This window comes from Homo sapiens, chromosome 14, assembly GCF_000001405.40.
Source record: "Homo sapiens chromosome 14, GRCh38.p14 Primary Assembly".
Taxonomy (NCBI): Eukaryota; Metazoa; Chordata; class Mammalia; order Primates; family Hominidae; genus Homo; species Homo sapiens.
Window position 1 is genome coordinate 48,899,433 of NC_000014.9, and position 27,190 is coordinate 48,926,622.

General features: G+C 36.6%; 1 long non-coding RNA gene across 1 annotated transcript in view; it reads right to left on the reverse strand.

Annotated features, from left to right (window-relative positions):
* The window catches only part of LOC105378178 (uncharacterized), an 894,025-nt gene that overhangs the window by 505,434 nt on the left and 361,401 nt on the right, over nt 1-27,190 (reverse strand). The gene's annotated exons all lie outside the window — the stretch shown is intronic.

Here is a 27,190-nt window from a genome sequence, read left to right on the forward strand (position 1 = left end):
ATCACATTGGAGGTTAGATTTTAACGTAAAACTTTGGCGGGACACAAACACTCATTATATAGAAATCTCTGTGAATGACTAGGTATAGGAAGGTAGATCTCCCAAAGGCCCCACTTCTTAAAATCATCCCTGGGGGTTAAAATTTCAACACATGTATTTTAGGGGGACACATTCAGACCATAGCTGGTATTCTGTGCGGACAACATTGCCAGCCCCAGCTAGTTCCAGTCACCGAGGGTGTCTTAGAAAATTCCAAGGAAGACACTCCAAAGTGTAGTAACACCCAGAGGCACAGGGTCTTGAGCAGGGACCTCATTTCCCTTGGTAAAGGGGAAGTGTAGGCTGTTGGGTTCAAAGAGGAAACACTCCAAGACACACCATGAAGAAAGCAAGGGTTCAAAGGGTACGAGGCAGAAGCTGTCACACTTCTGACCTAGCCTCAGCAATCCCACAGCATCACTTCTGTCTTACGTTAGCAGATACAGGCAAGACACTGTGGCCAGACCAGAATCAAGGGAAGCAGAATTAGACTCCACCTCTTGATAGAAGTCAAGGTCAAATTTCAGAACAGCATGTAGGATAGAAGATATTGATGCAGCCAGCTTTGGAAAATACAATCTGTCATAATCACCATAACTGTAATTCTTCTCCATAGTACTTACAGTGTTTTACTATGATTACTTATTTCCTTTTCTATATTCTCCACCAAATTTTCAAGTAATCTGATGACTAAACACCAACACTTGTGTCATTTACACCCCTGGAGTCTGTTGATAGAAGTAGTTAATATGAGAAAATAGAAATAAAATGGCTGAAAACTATGAAGGGGCACCAATAAACAAGTTATGCTTCTTGATAATGCAATTAATTACATATGTATTAAACTGCAAGAAAATACATAATAATAAAAGTTGACTCATAAAAGTCAACTTCTGTGGGAGCTGTGTCAAATTCATCAAATAACAATTCAGTCCTTTGCCACAAAGCTTTTGCTTAATATGCAAAACTCTGCTATGCTAGTTCAATACAGCACAATGTGGAGAACACAGAGGATAAAACATTTGAGTAGAGCAGTATGTAGGCCAAAGATGCTATTCCTTCCAAATGCCCATGGAGAGAATGAGGAGGCATCCTGAGAGTAAGGCACTGAGTGCTTTAATAACAAAGGTGAAATTAATAGCTTTAATCTGTTTATCTATTCTCATTCCAGTCTGCTCCAACCCACAATGTCTGGAAGTTTTCATCCTCAGAAAAAGTGAAGTACTTACTAAGTCTGTCTTTTTTTTGCTAATCTTCAGATGCTGAAAATCATTTTAAATCTATTCCTGTCATTTTGGATTTGCATAAGTGTCTTGAAAGAAAAGTCTAAAAAGGCAACGGCTGATTTAGTGTGAATGAACATGCCATAAAACATTTCAAACCTTACATCACTCATGTAAATCTTTCATGATTTAAAATGTTTGAACTTGCCAATAACGAGTAGTCTAGTGTCAGGCTGGATGAAATAGCTAAGGCTGAAAAGACGCTTTCATTAAAATCCTCCCTCTTGCGGCACATATAAGTTTGGGAGGGGGTGAAAAAAAATCTTCACTTCAGGCTGGAATTTGAAATCTTAGCCTAAACCTATGACATACCAGTTGAGGAAAAAGGAAATTTCTATAGAGTTTCATTAAGATTACAAGGGCAAATAATGTCTTCACCAATGAGATGGGGGATGGTTTTGATATTCAAATTCTGTCTATAGTCAAATCAATTTAGTAAAGAATGGGTGATTTAGTCAAGTAACTGATTAAAAAAATTACTTATATACTGGGAATTTGGTTTTACTAAATCAGCCTTATTGTTTTTCAAAGTGAACCCATCATAGACATTCACTTAGGCAGTGGCTTTCAACAGTGAGATAGATATTTGACAAATCTCTAGCTGGTTTGTCAACACATGGCACAACAAAAGCACTCTTCACCAAAGTACCAATTTTTATGAAACACAAGTCACCTATCAATCTAATTTTCATTCAGACCATACCAAAATCTTTAGAATTTCAATTTTACTTTTCAAAATCCCAAACTTGTGGTGTTTTCATACTATTCTGACCTCATCCAATTGTTATTAAAACTTTTAAAAAGGGAAATTCCATGCAAGAAAATAACTGAAAAGAACCTTCCCACTCCCAGAAATTTGACAGATAATAAGAAGTAAATAATTTCTAAAAGATATAAGTAAACAATATTCTTAAAGTTGTGGGTGGAGGATAAGAATTTCATTTTCTTTCTTTTCTTTTTTTTTTTTAACACTAGTGACCTGAGACAGCAACACTCCGTGTTTTCAAGCATTCTTATGGATGAAAGTTGTTCAGTTCCACTTGGCAAAGGGGCCATTAGCTAATGTCTTAGACCTGTCTACAGAGACTGTGGTTAGCACTTGAGGGCCTGTGCCTAATGAGGCTCATCTTCACCTCTGACAACACAGGGAAGTTTCCTACACAGTTTGTATTAGGACTGCAAGGAGAAAACTGCCCCAAACAGATCTTTAGCTTGAAAGCCACAGGGACTCCCATTACAAATGTATTGTTTTGAATAGAGCATTCTTTTTCTAATATGTTTTTCAATATAACTGCCATACACATACACTACAAAGATTCTACATTGAGTGATGACTCATCTTGTGAATGTGGAATAATACTTATCCTCTGCCCCTACCAGCAGCCCTGCTGTGGACTGTTACCCCAGAGAGGTCTTGAATGTTATTATTAAAAGGCATTTTAATGGTGGGCTGTCATGAAAAAAAAAAAAAAAAAAGAGTCATGAAACCACACAGTATCTAAGGTGAGCATCCGGAAACATTCAGCAATTGTCTAATCCTTTTACTCCATCTTTTGTTGACTCCCCCACATAACTGAATTCTCCACATCTCTTGCCTCAGACCTTCTTCAGAGGATAGTCATTGTTAGGACCCCAAGATATACAATAAGAGCCATCAACACATAGGTCAATGATTGCTTAGAAAGCAAAAAAGCATTTCAATGCATCTTCCACAATAATACCTTTAGAGTCTCTGGTATAGCAGATGCGGCAGGTGCCCCAGCAGTTTTTATTTCAGCAAGCACCAGAGGTGATCCTGACATAGGTGCTTTGTAGGGTACATTTAGAAAATACTAATATTTTACAGAAATGGGAAATAATACTAAAACACAAAAATAGAAGTGGAAAGAGTGAAGGATGAGGGATGGAATTCTATGAGGCACCACGCTCACTTATAAACTAATCTGTGTTTATGAGTTCATCACTGTTTATTGATTAATAGGATTTCACTATCTGAGACTGAATGTTTAAAACAGAGTCTATTTGGCCAGACGCGGTGGCTCATGCCTGTAATCCCAGCACTTTGAGAGGCTGAGGCTGGCAGATAACGAGGTCAGGAGATCGAGACCATCCTGGCTGACACAGTGAAACCCCAACTCTACTAAAAATACAAAAAATTAGCCAGGCGTGGTGGCGGGCACCTGTAGTCCCAGCTACTTGGGAGGCTGAGGCAGGAGAATGGTGTGAACCAGGGAGGCGGAGCTTGCAGTGAGCCCAGATCATGCCACTACACTCCAGCCTGGGTGACAGAGCGAGACTCCATCTCAAAAACAAAACAAAAGAAAAACAAAAACAAACAAACAAACAAAAACAAAAACAGAGTCTAAATTATTTTAATTCAAAATAAGTGATGCTAATGAGAAATTTTAGATAATAGTTTATGGAAGATATCATGGGGAAGATATGGGTTGACAGGCAGGCTTTCCCCTTTCCTCTCCCAAAACTTACCACATAAGTGGCTTCCTACTTCCCCATGCTTAAGAACAGCTGTTTTTGAGGTCTCCAAGACACAGATCTGACTGACATTCAAAGTTCTTTGATCTATTAACTCCAAAACTTTCACTGAGTAATTAAGAAAGTTCTCACAAGCTTGTTAGATTTTGGTCTTATGGCATTCATTCCCTGAAGAAAGAATAAGATAATCTATACAGATTAATGTACACCAGGCCTAGCAGATGTGAAGCCAGTAACAAGGCTCTCATTGAAGACTTAGTATGACTAAGTAGAGTTATTTGAATTATATGTTATTTAAATTTGTCTTAGGAGACATTTAAACCAGTAATGGAACTGCTTTTTTTTTTATTATTTGGCCATGTACGTGAATTTTAATTTACTCTTCTAATACCACCACAGAAGAAATGAAGAACAATGCATATTTCTACTAACACTAGGGTCTTTAAGTTATTAATTACATATCCAAAGTATGTTTAAATAGTTGTTAGCTTGCATATGGATGGCAAAGATATAATCTGTCTAAAATATCTCACAGTACTTAATATGATAGTAGAGCATAATTTGTAATTACTCTTAACATATTCCCTTTATAAAACACAGTCCATCATGATTGTTTGTTCTTTGATGTTTCAGTTTCAGGAAGAAGACAAAGCTTACACTTTCTGAAAAGCACCAGAACCTAACTTTGAATCAGAAAGACCAATATTTTGACACAAAAATACTGTTAAAATTTATTTTGTTCACCATCTCAAAAGACATGTATGCAGTTATTAAAATTGATTTGGAATGGAAATTTTAAAAATTGTTATCTACTCAAACTCTCTGCAGTGATATTTACCTACTTACCTTTATCATTGCTATTAATTATCCCAGTGCTTGTTAATCCCACAGTTTGGAACCACATAATTAGCCTGACCCACTTCCTTTGCCCTCTTTAGCTATACTGGAGCACTGAGTCATGCCAATTTTTCCTGTTATAGTTTTAAGGTGCTCCCTAAAATTCAAGTGTCATAAACTCAATTCCAAGGAAGGGGATATTGGGAAATAGGGCCTTTTAGCATGTGTTTGGCCCTCATGAATGGATTAATGCTACTATAAAAAGGGCTTGCAGTAGCAGATTTCTCTTCTTCTGCCATGTAACAATATGATGCTCCTTCCCTCCAGAGGACTCAGGGTTCAAGGTGCCATGTGGGAAGCAAGAGACCAGAGCCCACACTTGCTGGCACCTTGATGTTGGACTTCCAAGCCTCCAGACTGTGAGAAATAAATTTCTCTTATTTATACGTTACCAAATTTGCGGTATCCTGTTATAGCAGTCAAAATGGACTAAGACAATCACCTTCTCAAAGTAAGTGCTGATTCACTAAGATTCCTGAAGTCCACATTGTGAACCTAGATTTGAGGTATTGAAAATCATGATAAAGATACAAACTCTTGGACTGCATATAGTACTTGACACACTTCAGAGTCATTCACACAACCAGCAATGATTCAGTAGTCACTTAGTCACTAAGAGATCAGTACTGCACTTAGCGTTACAGATATCAAGACAAGTAAGACACAAGCCCTCTCCTCAAGGACATGGTCTACTAAAGATTATTGATACTCCAAGATGAAATAAAGCATTGAAGATGCCGTGATGAATGTATATAAGAAACACAGGAACGACAAAGGAAAGAGTAGTAATTCCTACCTGGATGTGGAAAGAACAGCTCCTAAAAATTTATATTGGAGAAAGCAAAATTCTGAATGTTAAAACTAATGAGCAATCTTTCGTCTGGTGAACAAAAAGTATATATCAATCAGGATTCCAAAAAGAAACAGATGGCATATGTCAAGTAAGCTAGTGAGTGGGGGGTTTATTTACCAAGTTTTTTATTTAAACTTCTGAGTAATTTGGTTAATTTCTGCATTGGAATAACGACTTGATATATTTTAAGAGCAAACAATAATTAAATATTTAATAAGACCAATAATTAAATATTTAATAAGACCAATGTCAAGTGCTTCACTTACAACACCCTTGCAAAGATAGGTACTCAGTCATTCAGTAAATACTCAGTGAGCCCCTGCCATTTAACAGGCATTGTTTGAGCACTGGAGATACAGCTGTGAACAAAGCAGTCAAGTTTCCTCCCTTCATAGAAATTTGCTGGGAGGAGGCAGGTGATAAATAAATATACAAGATAATTTTAGCTGGTGGTAAGTATTATTAAAAATAAATAAATAAAAGGGCACACTTGGTTTCTCAGGTGGTTGCTTGGCCTTCTTCCAAGTGTGCTTTCCTTGCTTTCTTTCCTTTCCTCACAGTTTTAAAGCTTTTTAAATAAACTTTCACCCCTGCTCTGAAACTTGCCTTGGAAAAATAAATAAATACATAAATACATAAAAGGCTTATATAAGTTCAAGTAGCTGAGTAAAGGTATGAGGGGCTATTTAGGGAAAGATCTCTCTCACGGGAAGACATTTGAGATAAGACCTGAGTGATGAAAAAGAGCTTTATTTTAACATTCTGGAAAAGGCAAAACTATGGAGACATTGAATAGAGAATCAGTTGTTAAGGGGAAACGGGAGGGAAGAATGAATAGGCAGAGCAGAGGGGTTTCTTTTAGAGCAGTGAGACCATGTTGTATGACACTACCATGGTGGATATGTGTCTAAACCTGTAGAAAGTACAACAGCAAAAGTGAACCCCACTGTGAACTATGGACTCTGGATGATAATGATGTGTCAGTGTAGGTTCATCAATTGTAACAAATGTGTCACTCTGGTCAGGGATGTTGATAACAGGGAGACCATGCATGTGGAGGGGTAGAGGATATAAGGGAAATCTCTGAACTTTCTGCTCAATTTTGCTGTGAATATAAAACTACTCAAAATATAAATTCTATTTTAAAATTGTTTTAAAATATGATCATCTAGCTCACAAGAGAACTCAATTAAATTTCCTGTGATTCAAATTAAAAATATACATTAAAATCCTCAGGTATCACGTATGTTATGAGAATTGCTTCTGGTTAACCTGTTGGAATCTGGAGTCTCTAAAATGCACTCATCTGCTTGGTGAATTTTGACATAACATCTGAATTAGGTGATTACGTTCAGAAAAACTGTGATTGCTACATTTTTAAGCAAGAATCATGTTGGGGTATGGATTGGAAGAGGATGGATATGGAATGAAAAGATGTAAAAGGTGGTAAATTAGATGGTATTAAGTAATTGAAACTCATCTGAGTAAAAGCAAAAGCAGTTTTAGTTCAGTGTGAATCATTAAGTCAGCACTGAATGTGACTGGTTACTAGAGGAACTTGGGTAATGGAAAATGAAAACAGCTGGATTTATAACTCCCATAAATAAGTTAAACAGCCTACTCAGTGCCAGTGAAAACTATTGACAGTGGTAAATGGTGAGGCTTCTACATACAAGCATGTAGGAAGGAAATCAACAAATTGATAAACCTTTAAAGTTACGGATTAAATACGTTTGAATTATCTTGCTTTTGGTCATTCTTTACTAAGCAACTTGTCTATCCTGATAGCTAAAAATCATAAAACTTTGCATATTTTTTAAATATTGTATTGAGTTGAATTTGGTGTTCTATAAGATAAACCTGCAAAAAATTTACTATCAGCTAGCTATACTCAAACAACTGTCTTAAATAAGTAGTTGAGGAATTCCAAAGTTATGGTGGTATAACCGTATTATACAACCAAGTTATGGTTGTATAATTACGACCCTGATCTCCTTTTCTTCTAACCTCAGAATCACTCTCTTAATTCAGGCCCTTGTTTCCTGACATGTGGACAATTACAATAACCACTTAAACTATTTTCTTCAGGCATCCTCTTCCAATCTGTTCTCCACACTGCCCCCTGAGCTATCTTTCTAAGACATCACTCCTTGCTGAAACCCAAATTCCGTAGAATATAATTCAAACTGCTTACTTGGAAATACATGTTTTGATAACCTAGATCCAACCAACATTTTTAGTCTCATCCTTTCAGAGTAGGATGACTATGTAATTTACATTTCGTACCAGAATACTTTTGATAGTAAAAGAAGGAACTATTTATAATTTCCCTGAGACAACAAGTTTAAACCTGACTATCAAGGCAAGCAAGAAAATATAATTACCTTATTTAAAAGCCAATAGTTTCTTTACTTTCCCAGGATAAATCGGTGGCTCCTCTCCTCTGTGCTCCAGAGCACAGAGCAACATTCCCCTACTTAGCAATTTCACATCATATTTTGGGAATCCTGTATATTTCCGCCACTAGACTCAGAAGTCCAAGAATTCAAAGATACATCTTTGCAACCTGGTACCAAGTACAGGACCAGATACATAAAAGGCTTTCAATAAGTGTTTTTTGATGGTGAATTAATATTGAAGCAGAGGACTGACAGACCTAAATGGAAGAAGTAAGTAAATATCCAGGAAATAGGACAAAAGTCAGGTAAAGATCTAATCACCCAGATAAATCTATAAAATTATGTTTACATGGGAGCTGTACATATATGCATATTCATCCAAAGGAAAGAAGTATTACATATAAAAGATCAAGATTACCTGTGTAAACATTTGTCATAGGTTTTGATCTTTATATTTATTCTTTGAGATGAAACAATAACTTTGCATTCTCCTTTTAAATGACAAGGTACAAAAATAAAAGATAAATTTTTAACATCCTGGTTTAAAAATGCTCCCCAACATGTTAAATAGTACTTATTATGGCTCCAAAAGCATCTCTTCCCAGTCACCCCAGGACTCTAACATTTCAAATTCTTACTAACAAATGATCTCCCAATTATTCCACTCAGTTGATTAAGATACTTCACGCTTTACTCCTTACAAATGTTCCTCTCCTGTGTGATGTTTCCCACACAGGATCATCACAGCTGATTCTGTGTAATCACCACAGCAGAAATAAGTGAACAAAAGATGTAACTCTAATGAAAACAGCTATGCTTCCAAATGGTATCTCATCAGGGATCCCAATGAAAAATGCTCAGAACTTCAAGTCTATTTTCTTATTTTGCAAAGGCATATATTTGATTTTAAAAGCATTTGATTTACAATGACATAAAATAATTTAAAATGAAAATGGGAGAATAAATATGCATAGGCAAGCCTTTGTATTAATAGTTTCAATAACTTTAACAATTTTCATGAGACATATACTCTTTAATGGTAAAATATAAGGTGAGGACCCTCATCCAAACTCCTGCAAACTCTCATCCTTAGGAGAGCCCTCATCACTCCAGAAATCTCCAAAGTTTCATCAGCTTCCTCAGACTCAGTTAGACATCACCTGGGAATTAAATGAGTTAATGGATATTAAACATTTAAAGCACTTTCTGGCATACTTTATGTTAGTTAATAATATTGCAAGATACTTTATTTAACTCTGAGATTTATTTATCTGTTACATGCAAACTTGTCCTCATTCATTAAGTTCTCTAGATTCTTTCAAGGTTTATTTTCCACCCTGTATTTACTGTAACCCCTAGAAAATGTAACCTCCAGCAACCTCATATTATAACTTGAGTTGTCTTTACTCCAGTGATCCTCACTTCTGTTCACTCAGTTACTTCCTATAAGGGCCACACCAAAGATTTTGTGATCATCAAAAAATATTCCCATTAAGAAACTACCGAAGGCCCACGCCTTCTATCACAGCAGTTGATCTTTTGATTTTAATTTAATCAAAAAAATCCCATTCCAGCACCATGCAAGATGACCTTCAACTTCAAACCCTCCTTATCTATACCATTAGTCATTCTTGCTTGTTTTAAAGATCAAATGGTGTTCTTCCTGCTCAAGGCCAAATTCTCTCCCCAGATCTTGTCCCTTTCTCCTTCTTTCTTCCCCTCCTTCAGGATTTTGTTCCCTCTGTTATCATTCATTTTCTATATGCAACTTCTTTTCTTCTCTCTCTCTCCTGTGTCTTTCCCCTCACCTGAGAACAAGTTCAAATATTTTATATCAGGACAACTCTTCTTGAGCTTTTCATGCAGCTCTAGATACTGCCGAGATAATTTTTCCATGTCTTATCCAATCTTGTCAAAAATAAATCTTCATGTTATGTTTCCAATTCCTCACCTCCCATTCACTAATTCATTATTGTCTTCAGTCAACAAAACTTAACAAGTGCTTCCTGTCTGACAGTTAACTCTAACCCAAACTCTTACTTCATAAATCCACTAACATTAACATTTCAGCTTGTCTTTTTTTTTTTTTTAGTTTTTGATAGTGTTAATCACTTCATTAGCCTCCCCTCCTGCTGTGTCTCTGTGAACATACTCATTTTTACATTTTATTCTACCTCTTGTCAAGGAAAAATTGTACCAAACAGAATCAAGCCAGCAGGACTATTCAAAACTATTGCCATAGAGGAGAAAGATTAATTTTGACTCTGCTGAAACAGAAAGCAGGAAGATTTTTAAAAGCTGGTGGGAACTAATGGAAAACTACTGGAGGATGTTGTAGGAGTAGCTCAGTGTAATCAGGCTATCTGTGTTTGCCCACTAGTGTTTATTAAAGTTAGTCTCCTATGCTCCCGCAGATATGGGAGACAGGGTCGCCATCTCCTTAGGTGATATTTCAAAGGGATAATCCACAGACTCTTAAGAAAGACATTCCTGGTAACATCACACACCAAGGCCTGTTGGGGGGTGGGGAGCAAGGGGAGGGACAGCATTAGGACAAATACCTAATGCATGTGGGACTTAAAACCTAGATGACAGGTTGATGGGTGCAGCAAACCACCATGGCACATGTATATCTATGTAACAAACCTGCAAGTTCTGCACAAGTATCCCAGAGCTTAAAGTGTAATAAATAAATTTTTAAAAGAAGAAAGCCATTCCTGGATTGTAGAAGATTTACTCTCAAAGGGACAGAGGCAGAATTTACAGTTGCAAGTTTTCTAAAGTAAATGTTCTAAGTAAAGGGAAGTCAGGGGCCTATAGATAGGGTTCTTTAGAAAGAACCTGTCTAAAGTTCAGTCCAGCTGAGGGGAATGTTATGGATAATTTGATCACTGTCTATTATGCTTTCCCTTCTTTCTTTGTCCTTCTTCTGTCACATCTTAAAAGCAGGGATCTTTAGTAATTATTATTTTACCTACTGCTGCTCATTTTATTCAATACCAACCCTGGGATGCCTTGGCTATCTCATAGTTTCAGTTATCACCTGCTAGATACCCTCCACAGCTTTTCTCATTCATTAATTACCACCCAAATTGTAATTTTTCTCTCTTATATATTTCTCAAATCATCCCCCCATTAATTTCTACTATAATTTGATGCCTTAGTCATTGCAATAGCTTTTTAAATAAGTGTCCTCCTACAAGTTTGCCTTCACACAACTGTCAAACATCTAACCAAAATGTAAATGTGACACGAGACTCCATAGCTAAAAATACTTCAAATTCTCCACAGAGCCCAAAGTTAAAGCCCAGGCTCCCTAACACGGACAGCACACAAACCTCCAGGACCGGGTCCTAGCCCATCTCTTTGGCCCCATTACTCAAAAGGTTGCCCTGTGAACACCAGGATGTCTCTCATCTCCAACCCCTAGCTCACTTTTATGTTTTAACCCATTCTGTTCTCATTCTCTCAACAAACCAAATACAACTTGTTTGGTATGATCATCTAAATTGTTACTAAGTTCCTGGCCAGGCATGAGGGCTCATGCCTGTAATCCCAGCACTTTGAGAGGCCAAGACAGGTGGATCACCTGAGGTCAGGAATTCAAGACCAGCCTGGCCAACAAGGTGAAACCCCATCTACTAAAAATACAAAAAATTAGTGAGGCATGGTGGCACATGTAATCACAGCTACTTGGGAGATGAGGAAAGAGAATCACTTGAACCTGGGAGCAGAGGTTGCAGTGAGCCAAGATCGCGTCATTGCACTCCAGCCTGGGCAACAAGAGCGAAACTCTGTCTAAAAAAAAAAATTAAATAAATAAATAAATTGTTACTAAGTCCCTGATCCTCATTAATTGGGTAAGGTGCCCTCTATAATGCTCTGTATGTTACACTTTGCACTTATCTATAAGTAACTGAGTGTGTTTGTACATTTCCCCTAAACATAAAGTCCTTATGAGGACTCCATCTTTTCCATTTTAAAATGCCCAGCAAAGAATACAATGCCAAGTACATAGTAGATATCTAACAATTATTCATCGAATTAGTTATTAAATTAAATGAGCGAACAAGTGTCTTAGTCCATTCAGGCTGGTATAACAAAATACCATAGACTGGGTAGTTTATAAACAACAGGAATTTATTTCTCACAGTTCTAGGGCTGAGAAGTCCAAAAGCAAGGTGCTAAAAAGACTAGAAATCTGGTGAAGGCCTATTTCCTGGTTCATAGATGCCACATTCTTACTGTGTCCTCTCATGATAGAAGAGTGAATGAGCTCTCTAGGGCGTATTTTATAAGGACACTAATCCCATTGAAGAGGGCTCTGCCTTCATGACCGAAACACCTCCCGAAAGGTCCCCATCTCCTAATATCATCACTTCAGGGATCAGAATTGCAGCCTACCAGTTTTGGAGAGACACAAACATTCAGACCATAGCAACAGGTAAATATGTAAATGGAAGGTTGAATGACTTAGGTATCCTTTTATGCTCACAACAAGATCATAGAGAAAGCAAATATGTCCATCCATACAAATACACACATTTACTAGCAAATATAAAATGACCTTCAAATCTGTTCTGTAAGTTTAGTGAAGTCTAAGCTCACTGACTTTTTAAGTGCTTTTACCATGCATTGCACAAAATTTCTCTTGGATGGAGGGGATATGTATAAAAATATTCTAGAGGCAGAATTCAGTTAATCTGATAGAGAACCTCAGGCAATCAGAATCCTCTAAAGTCATGATAGCACACGAGACCATTTTAGAAGCAAGCCTCAGGTGCCATTCTGAAAAAGGAAAGGATGCAAGACTCACTACAAGTTTTATATCTTGTTTAAGAGCAAATGAGATGTCTAAAATATTTTAGCCAATCTAATATTTTTAAACCACTACTTTCACCCCCATAACTCATTAATATCCATTATGCTAATTAACAAGCCATTAATTCTGCCAATGAACACCCATTGCTAATGTGCTAATTAGCTAATATTTGGTGCTAGGAATAAAGAAAGCTAAAGCACTTAAAATAGTGCTTTTGGAGTGTGGCCTTGCTAATTAAATGTTAGTTGACCACCTCCGGAGTGTGAATACTGGATTAGGGCAACTGACTACCGCTCAGGTAGAGATTAAAGCTAATCAATGCACACACATTGTTTATGCTAAAGAATTGTCAAGCAGATTATGGTCACCATAGCACTCACTGTTTTACATGCACATAAACTCTGACTATTAATAATAGAACCCCGAAACTCTTGTTTAGCCTTTCCTTCCACAGAATGAGAAATTATGGTCTTAAGATTTATTTTCCAAATGCTTCTGCATGCACTTTACAAATGTGGTTTCTACAATCAATATTTAAAGGAGAAAAGAAAATATATTTGATGTACCTATCCAAATATTTAGCATTACACCTCAGAGGAAAATGTATCTTCGTGTCTTTATTATGTCATCAGCTTATGGCTTGAAGCATAAAGATAAATTTCTTCAAAGTCCTTCTTTTTATTAACAAGATAGAAAATAAATATGAACTTTTAACAATCCAAGATACAATCCTTTCTTCCTTAATATCCTCACATTAATCTTTACCTCTGCAATGGTGATGAAAACCATGTAGCATTATTATTGTTTAGTCTTGAATAAGATGTATTAGCAAAGTTAATCCAAGGGGAATGCACACTATTACGCATCTGAAACCTGCAGCATTAATACAGTTCTCAAATCTGTAGGATAAACATATAACTTTTTGGAAGTCAAAACACAATAGATCAGCACACAGCACAGCCTATTTAAATATATTTTGATATATTTCCTTCCATTTATCTTAGATATAAAGACTAGTCAATTTCATATCTCAAATATGGTTTTCTGTGTTGTATGCTTGATATACTACAGAGGACAAGGAAAGACTCCTAAGTGTCAAATAGTAAATCTTTACTCAATTCTTATAAACGTAAAGAATGACAAAAAATGGACTCTAAAGAACAAAAGAAATGTTGTTATATTGAAGTAGTTGTAACTATCCATGACAATATAACAGTGGACAGTTCATACACACACACACACACACACACACACACACACACACACACACATCCCAACACATAATAGATTTTAATCATGTTTTCTCTTAAATACCATGGGTGTTACATAGTATAAATTAATTATTTTATCTCAACTTTGTCTAAATTAAGTCAAGTTTGGTCAAAAACACTGATCTCTGTTTTCATGTTGGCTAAGGCACTCTTTACTGTGTAGAGTTCATTTGCTCTGGAATAAGTTTTTATAATATTCTATACGTTCATCAAACTGATAAATATTTTGTGCTTGTCATAGTGGAAATGAACATCCTCAGTCTTCACTATGCCAATATGTAAAATGCAACTAATCTATTCAGATGAAAATTACAATGAGAGCAATTATTTTATTTAGGATTTACCCTAAGCAAACTTGTGGGGGGAAAAAAAAACCAAAACACCTAGATTTGGTTTACAAATGATTGAACTCCTGCTCTTGACACCACTTCTATTCTAATTCCACACTGCCATATTTTATAGCTATACATGGGTCGCCGATTGATTCCCACAGTGAAATCTTTCCTGGATTTACCTATTTTGAACATAAAACAATATCCAAACCTTCCCATTTTCCATTCCGTTGAAAGGTACTACCCTTCTATTATTTTCTCTGTTCCTACATATCAATTAGAAAAGCAAATGAAGTAATTTATACTATGCTATTAATATAACAACTGAATATGGGATCCCCTAAGAAACATATTTGAATATTAATACATTCATTATTCAACAAATATTCATTGAGTGTCTCCAATGCATTAAGTATTGTTCTATTCTACACCACTGGGGAGGTATTAGTGAAGACGATCAGTGAAGAAAGCAGACAAAGACACCAGCCCTCCTGAAGCACACATTCCAGAAAAGAGAAAGAGACAACAGACACTAGTATATTTGCATATTAGGAAATGGTTAATGCTATGGAAAACAAAAAGAAGAAAATAGAACAGGATAAGAAGATCTGTAGTATAGGGAAGGAGAAAGGGTTGCAATAATTGAGAAGGTGATTTATGACCAGAGACTTGAAGGAGGTGAGGAACAAGCCATTCAGACATGTGGGAAAAGTGCCGAGAGCAAACACTGCAAAGGCCCTAAGGCAGGAAGCAGGCCTGAGATGCTTGAGGAACAGCAAAGAAGACAGTGTGGCTGAGCTCAGCAGAGTGAGCTAGGTAGAGAGTAGGAAGAAAGATAAGAAAGATAAGAAAAAAGGGGAGTGGAAGAGAAAGTCAAGATTATCTAGGGTCTTGTTAATAAATAACTTATGAACTTAACCTGTCATGACCAAAAACAGTGCAGGATGCACCAGTTACAACTGCATACTTATTCCTTTATTCATTCAATAAGTTTTAAGTGTCCAATAAATACCAAGCACTAAGTGAGGTGTGAAGATCCAAAAATGTAAATGGTGCCTTTGGAGAGTTTAAATTTAGCAGGAATACAAAGCAGGGAATTACAGCACAAAGCAAAAAGTCCTATAATGGTAATATTTATAAGACACACTCATATTATACGAGAAATAGCTCAAAGTGCAGCAGAGAAGATAGAAAGTGGAGTTTCAGAAAAGGATAGGCAGTAGTTGAACTGAGATTAGCTGAGCAGAAATGTAGATGTCTCATACATGGGAAGGGCACTCTTAGCAAAAGAAATACAGTCATGTATTACTTAATGATGGGCATACGGTCTGAAAAATGAGTCATTAGGCAATTCTCTCACTGTGTGAACATCATAGAGTGTACTTACATGAACCTAGGTGGTATAGCCTACTATACACCTAGGCTATATGGTATAGCCCATCGCTTCTAGGCTACAAACATGTACAGCATATTACTGTACCGAAACACTATAAAAAATTGGAAGACAATATTATTTGTGTATCTAGACATAGACTTCAAAGAAACAACAGTTTTTTTAAAAAGACGGGAAGGTTTTTTTTAAAAAAGACAAGAAGGTCATTATGTAATGACAAAAGGATCAATGCAAAAAGAAGATATTACAATCCTAAATTTATATGCACCTAATACTGGATCTACCAGATTCATAAAACAATCACTACAATACCTAAGTAATGAGATAGCAACACAATAAGAGTGGGGGACTTCAATACTCCACTGATAGCATTAGACATATCATCAAGAGAGAAAATTAACCGAGAAACAATGGGCTTAAAGTACATTCTAGAACAAAAGTGCACTCTAGATCTAACAGATATTTACAGAGCATTCTACCCAAGAACTGCAAAATATACACTCTTCTCATTGGCACATGGAACATTCTCCAAGACAGACCATATGATAAGTCACAAGACAAGTCTCAATAAATTTTTATAAACAAAAATCATGTGAAGTATTTTCTCAGACCACAATGGAATAAAACTAGAAATCAACTCCAAAGGCACTCCCAAAACCATACAAATACATGGAAATTAAACAATCTACTCCTGAATGAATTTTCAGGTAACAATGAAATTGAGATACAAATCAAAAAAATTATTTGAAATGAATAAATTAAGTGACACAAGTTATCAAAACCTCCAGGACAAAGCAAAAGCAATGCTAAGAGGAAATTTTATAAGTCCAAAATGCCTACATCAAAAGGTTGTCATTAAAAAAAAATGACAACTTAATGTCACACCTCAAAGAACTAGAGAATTATTCACAAACTAAACCCAAAGCTAGCTGTATTAGTCTGTTTTCACAGTGCTTTAAAGATACATGAGACTAGGTAATTTATAACCAAAAAACGTTTATTGGTTCACAATTCCACATGGCTGGAGAAGCCTTAGGAAACTTACAATCATGGCGGAAGGCAAAGGGGAAGCAAGGCATGTCTTACGTGGCATCAGGAGACAAAGAGAGCGCAGGGGAAACTGACACTTTTAAACCATCAGGCCTCATGATAACTCCTTCACTATCACAAGAGTAGCATTGGGGAAACCACCCCATGATCCAATCACCTCTTACCAGCTCCCTCCCTCAACATGTGGGGATTACAACTCAAGATGAGAATTGGGTGGGAACACAGAGCCAAACCATATCATTAGCCGAAGAAAAGAAATAATAAAGATCAGAGTAAAACTAAATGATATTGAAACAAAACTATACAAAAGATCAATGAAACAAAAAGCTGATTCTCTGAAAAGATAAACAAAGTTGATAGACAATTGTTAGATTAACCAAGAAAAGAAGAGAGAAGATTCAAATAAGGTCAATTAGAAATGAAATGGGAGACATTAGAACCAACACCAGAGAAATACAAAAGATCATTCGAGACTACTATCAATGCCTCTATGTATACAAACTAGAAAACCTAGAGAAAATTGATAAGTTCCTGGAAACACACAAAACCTCCTGAGAGAAATAGAAATCCTGAACAGACCAATAAAGAGCAGTAAGACTGAATCAGTAATAGTAATAATAATAGTAATAATAAAAAGACAACAAAAAAAGCCCAAGGCCAGATGGATTCACAGGTGAATTCTACCAGACATTCAAAGAATTGGTACCAATCCTACTGAAGCTCTTCCAAAAGATTGAGAAAAAGGGAATGCTGCCTAAATCATTCTATGAAGCCAGTATCACCACGATACATAAACAGGAAAAGGCATTTAAAAAAAAGAAAGAAAACTACAGACAATAACCCTGGTGAACATAGATGCAAAAATCTTCAACAAAATAACAGCTAACTAAATCCAACCATACATCAAAAATATAATACATGATGATCAAGTGGGTTTCATCCCAGGGATGAAAGAATGGTTTAACATATGCAAGTCAATAAATGTGACACATTACATAAACAGAATTAAAAATAAAAACCATAGGTTAGGCCAGGCATGGTGGCTCATGCCTGTAATCCCAGCACTTTGGGAGGCTGAGGCGGGCAGATCACAAGGTCAGGAGTCTGAGACCAGCCTGGCCAATATGATGAAACCCCAACTCTATTAAAAATACAAAAATTAGCCGGACGTGGTGGAGGGCACCTGTAGTCCCAGCTACTTGGGAGGCTGAGGCAGGAGAATTGCTTGAACCCAGGAGGCAGAGGTAGCAGCGATCCAAGACTGCGCCACTGCACTCCAGCCTGGGTGAGAGTAAGACTTCACCTCAAAACAAAACAAAGTAAAACAACAACAAAAAACCCCATATGTTCTTCTTAATAGATCCAGAAAAATCATTTGATAAAATCCAACATCCCTTTAAGACGAAAACCTTCAACAAACTAGGCATAGAAGGTACTCACCCCAAATTAATAAAAGCCATATGTGACAAACCCACAGCCAACATTATACTGAATGGGGAAAAGTTGAAAGCATTCCCACTGGGCATTGGAACAAGACAAGACACCACTTCTATTCAACATAGTACCAGAAGTCCTAGCCAGAGCAAGCAGGCAAGAGAAAGAAATAAAGGGCATTCAAATTGGAAAGGAGGAAGTCAGACTATCGATATTTGCTGATGATGTTATCGTATACTTAGAAAACCCAAAAGACTCCTAGATTTAATAAACAAATTCAGTAAAATCTCAAGTTACTAAGTCAATGCACACAAATCAGTACCACTGCTATATACGAACAATGACCAAGCTGAGAATCAAATCAAGAACCTAATCTCTTTTGCAGAAGTTGCCAAATATTATAATAATAATAAGAAGAAGAAGATACCTAGGAATATACTTAACCAAAAAGGTAAAAGATCACTACAAGGAGAACTACAAAACACTAATGAAAGAAATTGTAGGTGACACAAACAAATGGAAACACATCCTATGCTCATGGATTGGAAGAATCAATATTGTAAAAAATGACCATACTCCCCAAAGCAATCTACAGATACATTGCAATTCCTATCAAAATATCAACATTATTTTTCACAGAATTTGAAAAAGCATCTTAAAATTCATATGGAACCAAAAAAGATCCCAAATAGCCAAAGCACTCCTTAGCAGAAAGAACAAATCTGCCGGTATCACATTATCAGACTTCAAGTTATACTACAAGACTATCATAAACAAAACAGCATAGTATTGGTATAAAAGTAGACACATAGACCAATGGAACAAAATAGAGAATCCAGAAATAAAGCCAAATATTTACAACCAACTCATCTACAAAGCACACAAAAACACAAATTGGAGAAAGGACAGCCTATTTAATAAATGATGCAGGGAAAACTGGCTAGCCACATGAAGAAGAATGAAACTGGATCACTACCTCTCATCTTATAAAAAAATGAACTCAAGATGGATCAAAGACCTAAATGTAAGACCTGAAACCATAAAAATTCTAGAAGATAACCCTGGAAAAATTCTTCTGGACATTGGGCTAGGCAAAGAATTCATGACTAAAACCCCAAGAGCAAATGCAACAAAAACAAAAACAAATATATGGGACCTGACTAAATTAAAAGCTTCTGCTCAGCAAAAGAAATAATCAACAGAGTAAAAAGACAACCTACAGAATGGGAAAAAATATTTGCAATGTTTACATCTAACAAAAGACTGCTATCCAGAATTTACAAGGAACTCAAACAAATTAGCAAGAAAAGAACAAATAATCCCATCAGAAAGTGGGCAAAGGATATGCACAGACATTTCTCAAAAGAAGATATACAAATGGCCAATAAACATATGAAAAAAATGCTTAACATCTCTAATCATAAAGGAAATGCAAATTAAAACCACAATTATATACCACCTTATTCCTGCAAGAATGGTCATTATTAAAAAGTCAAAAAACCATAGATGTTGGCATGGATGTGGTTAAAGAGGAATGTTTATACAGTGCTGATGGGAATGTAAATTCATACAACCTCTGTGGAAAATAGTATGGCGATCCCTTTAAGAACTAAAAGTAGATCTACCATTCAATCCAGCAATCCCACTACTGAGTATCAACGCAAAGGAAAAGAAGTTATTATATGAAAAAAACACATGCACATGTAGGTTTATTGCAGTACAATTCACAATTGCCAAGATACGGAACCAACCTAAGTGCCCACTGACCAACGAGTGGATAAAGAAAATTTGGTATATATACACCACGGAAGACTATTCAGCCATAAAAAGGAATGAAATAATGTCTTTTGTAGCAACTTGGATATAGCTGGAGGCCATTATTCTAGGTGAAGTAATTTAAGAATGAACAAACTAATACCATGTGTCATCACTCATAGTGGAAGCTAAGCTATGAGCACACGAAGGCATACAGCATGATATAATGGACTTTGGAGACTCAGAGGGAGGATGTTGGAAATGAGGGTGTAAGATTAAAGACTACTTATTGAGTACAACGTACACTACTTGGCTAATGGGTGCACTAAGGTCTCACAATTCACCACTATATAATTCATCCATGTAACCAAAAACTACTTGTAAACCCCAAAAGCTTACTGGGGTACATGTGGTATTTTTAATAATTTTTTATATTTAAAAACATTACAAATAAATAAAAGAAAGAAAATACATTCTCAAAAAAATAAAATAAACATCGAAAATATACAATAAAAATATGGTATAAAAGGTAAAAAATGGTACACCTGTATAGGACACTTACCATAAATGGAGCTTGCAGGACTAGAAATTGCTCTGGGTGAAATCAGTGAGTGAATGGTGAGTAAATGTGAAGGCCTGTGCTATTACTGTACACTACTGTAGACCATATAAGCACTATACAGATAGACTACATGAAATTTATTTTTTAAAATTTCTTTCTTCAATAATGAATTAACTGTTGTTTATTGTAACTTTTTTACTTTATAAATTCTTAATTTTTTTAACTTTTTGACTTTTTTGTAATAACACTTAGCTTACAATACAAATACATTGTATACATGTATAAGAATAGTTTCTTTTTTATATCCCTATCCTATATATTATATTATTTACTATTTTTTAAATTTTTTATGTTTGTTTTTTTTTTTTTTACTTTTTAAACTTTTTTTGTTAAAAACTAAGACACAAACACACACAGTAGCCTAGGTCTACACGGAGTCACGGTCATTAATATCACTGTCTTCCATCTCCATGTCTTGTCCCTCTGAAAGGTCTTCAGGGACAAGAATATGCATGGAGCTGTTAGCCTGTGATAACAATACCTTCTTCTGGAATACCTCCTGAGAGACCTGCTTGAGGTTGTTTTACAGTTACATTTTTATGAGTAGAAATAGTACATTCTAAAATATTGATATAGTATATAAATATATAAACCAGTATCATAGTCATTTGTTACCATTATCAAGTATAATATACACTCTACATAACTGTGTGTGATGTACTTTCATATGACTGGCAGTGCAGTCTGTTTACACCAGCAGCATAAACATGTGAGTAATGCACTGCACTAAGACATTATGACGGCAATGATGTCATAGGGATAAAACTTTTTCAGCTTTCTTATTATCTGATGGGACCACCATAATATAGAGTCCATTGTTAACTGAAATGTTGTTACGTGCTGCATGACTGTAGATAAGCCCGTTAGAAAGTAATAAAAAAAAATATATATATATGTTTCCCAGGTATTATAAATAGCTCAGTAGCATCATAGCAAGAGAATGTATCCTCTTGAAAGCATCGGAGTACAATAAGCTGTGTCCTCCAGCTTCATGGGTAAATTGGGTGGGGGGGGTCCTTAAAAAGAAGAATAGCACTGACCGGGCGCAGTGGCTCACGCCTGTAATCCCAGCACTTTGGGAGGCCAAGGCGGATGGATCACGAGGTCAGGAGATCGAGACCATCCTGGCTAACACGGTAAAACCCCGTCTCTACTAAAAATATAAAAAATTAGCCGGGCATAGTGGCAAGCACCTGTAGTCCCAGCTACTCAGGAGGCTGAGGTAGGAGAATGGCATGAACCCAGGAGGGGGAGCTTGCAGTGATCCGAGATTGCGCCACTGCACTCCAGCCTGGGCGACAGAGCGAGACTCCGTCTCAAAAAATAAAAATAAATAAAAAGAAGAAGAAGAATAGCAGAACTAGCCACCTACAAATTTATTTCACTGAAGCTCAGAACCACAAGTCTACATGGTTACTTCTGGGGTTCTGGCAATCGCTAAGGCATCTCTACCAAATGAGAACAACCTGCAAGATATATCTTGGCCTCCTCTGATTTGACAAGCATAGAATGTGGCACATTAGCATAACAGAACAGCAGCACCATTTTCATTTCCACCATCATCAAGCTACTTTGAGTCACATCACCTTTTATCCTAACAAAGATCCTGCTACATAGCTATTATCTGTCCCCACTTTATGTAACATTAATGGGAAAATGCTTTTAAATGGCTGCAACAGACTGTTTCTTTGTTTTAGGCAATCCCTGACATTCATCTCAGGAGTCGATAAAGTTTAAGAAAGCTCAGTAAGGGGTTATTTTTGGTATTCATCAGAGGTAGCCATCAGAGCCTCATCTAAGATGGAAGCTAAGACATAGAAGAGCTCCTGGAAATGTCAGCCGAGCAGAGCCTAAGGAGAAGACACCAGTGAAGAAGCCCTCGTGACCAAATAGCCAAAGGTCCCTAACAACTGTGATGTCTAATATTCAATTTTAGGCAATTTTGTTAAAATTACAGTAACCCTTCTCCCTTCTACTTCTATTATGCTCCAGAAATGAAAAGAGTAACAGCCATTTATAGGGCAAAGCTAGGAGAGAGGAAAGTTGACAAGGTGAAACAGCGATGGGGTTTTAAGAATAGAGCAGAAGAAAGAACTTACAAGTGTGTCTGTTTCTCTTCTTCCCCACTGTCATCATCCTGGTTTAAGCAATTGTCACAGTAAGTGTGACAGAGTTGCAACATTGTTCCTACTTCTCTTCTTTGTAGAAAATAATCCAGAGTGGATGTGGTGAAGGAGGAATGCTTATACACTGCTGATGGGAATGTAAATTCCTACAACCTCTGTGAAAAATAGTATGGCGATTCCTTTAATTCTGCCCTAACTAATCTGCTTTTCCTCATGAATCCTAACTGTGCAGTACATCAACAAAAAAATAAACAAAAACACTAAATGTCCACTCTGATAAACTCAATCTGACATGCTACCCAAATATTCCCGTTTAGATAATGCTAAGACTTTTTAGTCAAAACTGTTTCATTTCCCATTGTTGTTCCCATCTCCTGATCAATTTTAAGATGGCTTCATGGTATAGCTCATGGGGATAGGTATGGTCTATGTGATCTAGAGGCGAGGAGATATGGGGTGGTGTTATGGCTCTCTGGGTGTCCGAAGGATGGCTCTTGCATCATGGATTGCTACTTGGCCTGCTGGTCTTCATAGCTACACTCAGTAACTGCAGATCTTATAACCCAATTCCTCTGATCTAGCTCAGGATCCTGCAGTGTCGCCTGGTTTTCTTCAATTCTGTTACCCCCACAGGTCCCTCTGAACCTTTGCCATATTAAGCTAGCTTCTATTCTGCATTTTCCTCCCTACATGCCTCTTTATTGTTCATGACAGAAGGGACCCAATGACAGACAGCCCAGCATTCAATCCAGCATCCAAACCGTACATGACCCTAAAGGATGAAAGAAAGGAATTTAGAAATCTCTCCTCATTTCTCTCTCTTTCTCTCTCATGTTTGAATTTACACCAATTACCATCCTGCAAAATTCTTTTTGACTGTCAAACACTAACAAGTAACCCTCTTATTCTCCTTTCATTCCTGTGTCATCATCTTAACGGTGGGGGGCAGATACGTATGCTTCAAGCAGACTACAAGGTTAATGTATACATACGAAAATGAAAAATTTAAAAATGCTTTTATATATTACTTATTTTGTTCCATGAGATCTCAGTCAATAAATATTTCTTGTATGAAAGAAATACATAAATTTTTAAATTGAAACAAAATGAAATACAGAAAATAGCAACAAACCTACCAGACCTAACTAACCACACAGCTGGTGATAAAACTCTGGAAAAAAAAATAAGTTCCTGCAAGTCTTTCTTCACCTTCCTACAATTTCATCTTACAGAAATAAAAAGTGTCTGTAAATATAATTTCAACAAGAAAAAATTAGTGCTTTATTAGTTCATGGTGGCAGTTTATGGTGAAAGTTGAAGTTTATAATACTAGACTTTGGCTTAAAACAAAGCAAACACAAAGATGCTTATTTTGTTCTGCTTTTCTTCAAGGAGAAAAATAATCTTGAATAGATTTTAAAAAACTATGGAAACATATTGAAAACTCACGTGTTTTAAATGAAAATAATTTCTAAAGCTTAGAAAAATTCTACTACATGATATGAAAAGACATCATAGTTGTAATTGAGATCTATTGCCTATAATTTTGAGAAATTTTAACTAATGAAAAAGGGAAGGCTTTGAGAGCAAGACTGTATTGGAGTTGCTCCATTTCACTTTCATGGAAGTAAGTGAAAACGTTCTTCAAAGAAAATGAAGCAAAGGCCCAAGATTGGAAAACAGACAAAGTAAGATTTAGCTGTAGGCTGTAGTGCTGGTACATGTGAGGAGGCAGTTAAAGAGAAACCTGGAAGAGACTGAAATCAGATCCTGGGGAACCAGGAACACCAGACTAAGTAATTTATTCACTGTGTTTTATTTAGCCTTTTATCCTAGGGACACAACTCAGAGCATATATATTCTCCTTATCATTATTTATTTTATCAAAGAAATACTCTCTACCGTAAGCACACTTTGGGGGATTCTATGCTGATGTGTGTAGTTAGCCATGATCCCTTGGGTTGCTTCAAACATGTGTATGTGTTTTATCAATATTATAACAGGAGACTAAGTCTAGGGAACTAGAAGCAAGTGGGCAATGCCCTAGGAAGCAATCGAGAGGAGATACAGTTTTCACATCAATTTCAAAGGTGAATTATACAAGCCTTGTCATAAAACCAAAAAAGAAATGAATTTCCAAGGATGGAAAATAATGAGATGGCTAAAAAAGCAAAAGGCCCAGAGACAGAGCAGATTTGTTAGGCTAATGAGAAGTATGAAAAAAAATTATAGAAGAAAGAGCTACATTTTACATTACCTACTTCCACTTACTACAAAGTATCCAAGCACAGAAAGTTTGACTTAACACCTACGAAAAGAAATTATGATTTCCGAACATTGACAGATTTTCCTGCCATGGCCAGCCATGCCAGGGTTCTTTCCTTCGTCTATGAGACTCATGATGCTTTCAGAGCTTTTTCCAAAGAAATAAATCAGAATGTGTCTATTTAACAATATGTCTTTTCCATTTCCTTCCAAATTTTACAATCATAAGTGGAAATAGATTTCTCCATAGTTTATGTCCCTTTCTCCAAAGAGAGTAGAAATTTATACTCAATAACCAGCTCTGCCTTTTTCCCCTTCAAGGGGCAGAAGTGATGACTCAAGTATAAAAGAAGAGTGAAAACAATGGTAAAATGAAAGTTTAAATTTAAACAGAAAAAGAAATTTTGATTTCAAATTTTCTTTATAAAAAGTGTTGACAATATGCTTTAGAAAACACATGACGAATAAATACTTTGCTGCTCAAACCCATTGGATATTGCACTGGGCATACTCCAGCATTTAATGAATATTTATTAAATGACTGGTAGGCTCTGAAGAACAAGTAGGTAAGGACTAAACACTGCAGCAGTTAGTACTTTCAACAGATGCTAATGATTAGGAAACCATTTACGATCTACAATAACAGATGAACATACAATAAAGATAATTTGCTTCACAGTATTCATAACCAAATTGATAGTAATTTTTAACTTCTGATTCCAATTGTGATGATGGAAATGAGATGGGATTTATAACTACAAAATGAACAGGCCGTACAAGGCTGTGATCCCTAAATAAAGAGAAAAAGCAACATACGCCCTAGGATTGCACCAGTCTGCTGCCTGGAGTCAGTTTCTAGGCTGCAATCCAAGGAAGGGGACCCAATTAGAGTCCAAAGTTTCATTAAGTTGAAAAAAACAGAGATTGGAGTTTGCGGATGCCAAGGCAGCTAGAATTTGCCATCTAAAACACCAGACAGGGCCAGGCGCAGTAGCTCACTCCTTTAATCCCAGCACTTTGGGAGGGTGGATCACTGGAGGCCGGGAGTTCGAGACCATCCTGGCCAATATAGCAAAACCCCTTCTCTACTAAAAATGTCAAAAAATTAGCCAGGTGTAGTGGTGCATGCCTGTATTCCCAGCTACTTCGGAGGCTGAGACAGAATTGCTTGAGCCTAGGAGGCAGAGGTTGCAGTAAGCCGAGATTGTGCTACTGCACTCTCGCCTGGGCAACAGAGTGAGACTCTGTCCCCCACAAAAAATTTTTTTAATACAAAATTTAAAAAATAATAAAACACCAGATAGGCATGAACTGCACAGAGAGAGCTCTGGATACTTAAATACTGATCTGCTCATGTATGAGGGAAAACTACCCAAGACCAAGGAAATAACCACTAAAAAGTAATAAGCAGAGTTTATACTGGGCTTAAAATCATTCAGACAACATGGAAACACCTCCTAATATGAAGGACATTGGCTAAAATTCTGAGAAAGATATCTCCTTAATAATGGGGCTAAATTCTGCCTATATTAGAGTCTGCTCTGGACTCACCCTAAATTTAAAATAAAGCTTCAGATGATCTAATCGATTTTGAATAATGTAACATGTTAGAATAAAGCACAACACAGTTTAAAGAATACAACCAAAGCCAAGTGCAGTGGCTCACACCTATAACTGCAGCCTTTTGGGAAGCCGAGGGGGGCGGATCACTTGAGCCCAGGAGTTTGAGACCAGCCTGGGCAACATGATGAAACTCTTGTCTCTACAAAAATACAAAAAGTACCTGGGCATGCTGATGTGCACCTGTAATCCCAGCTACTAGGGATGATGGGATGGAAGGATCGCCTGAGCCTGGCAAGGGTGAGGTTGCAGTAAGCCATGGTCACACCACTGCACTCCAGCCTGGGTAACAAACTGAGACACTGTCTCAAAACAAACAAACAAACAACAACAACAAGAAAAAAAACAACTGAACACAGAAACCAAGAACATACAATCCACAATGACCATCAGACCATCATCTAATGAACATTACTAGGTACACAGAAAAAAAGGAACATATGACTCATTACTAAGTATCAATCCATAGAATCAAACACAGAAATAACAGATCATAGAATTAGCATTAACATACATTTAAAGGGCTACCATAAATA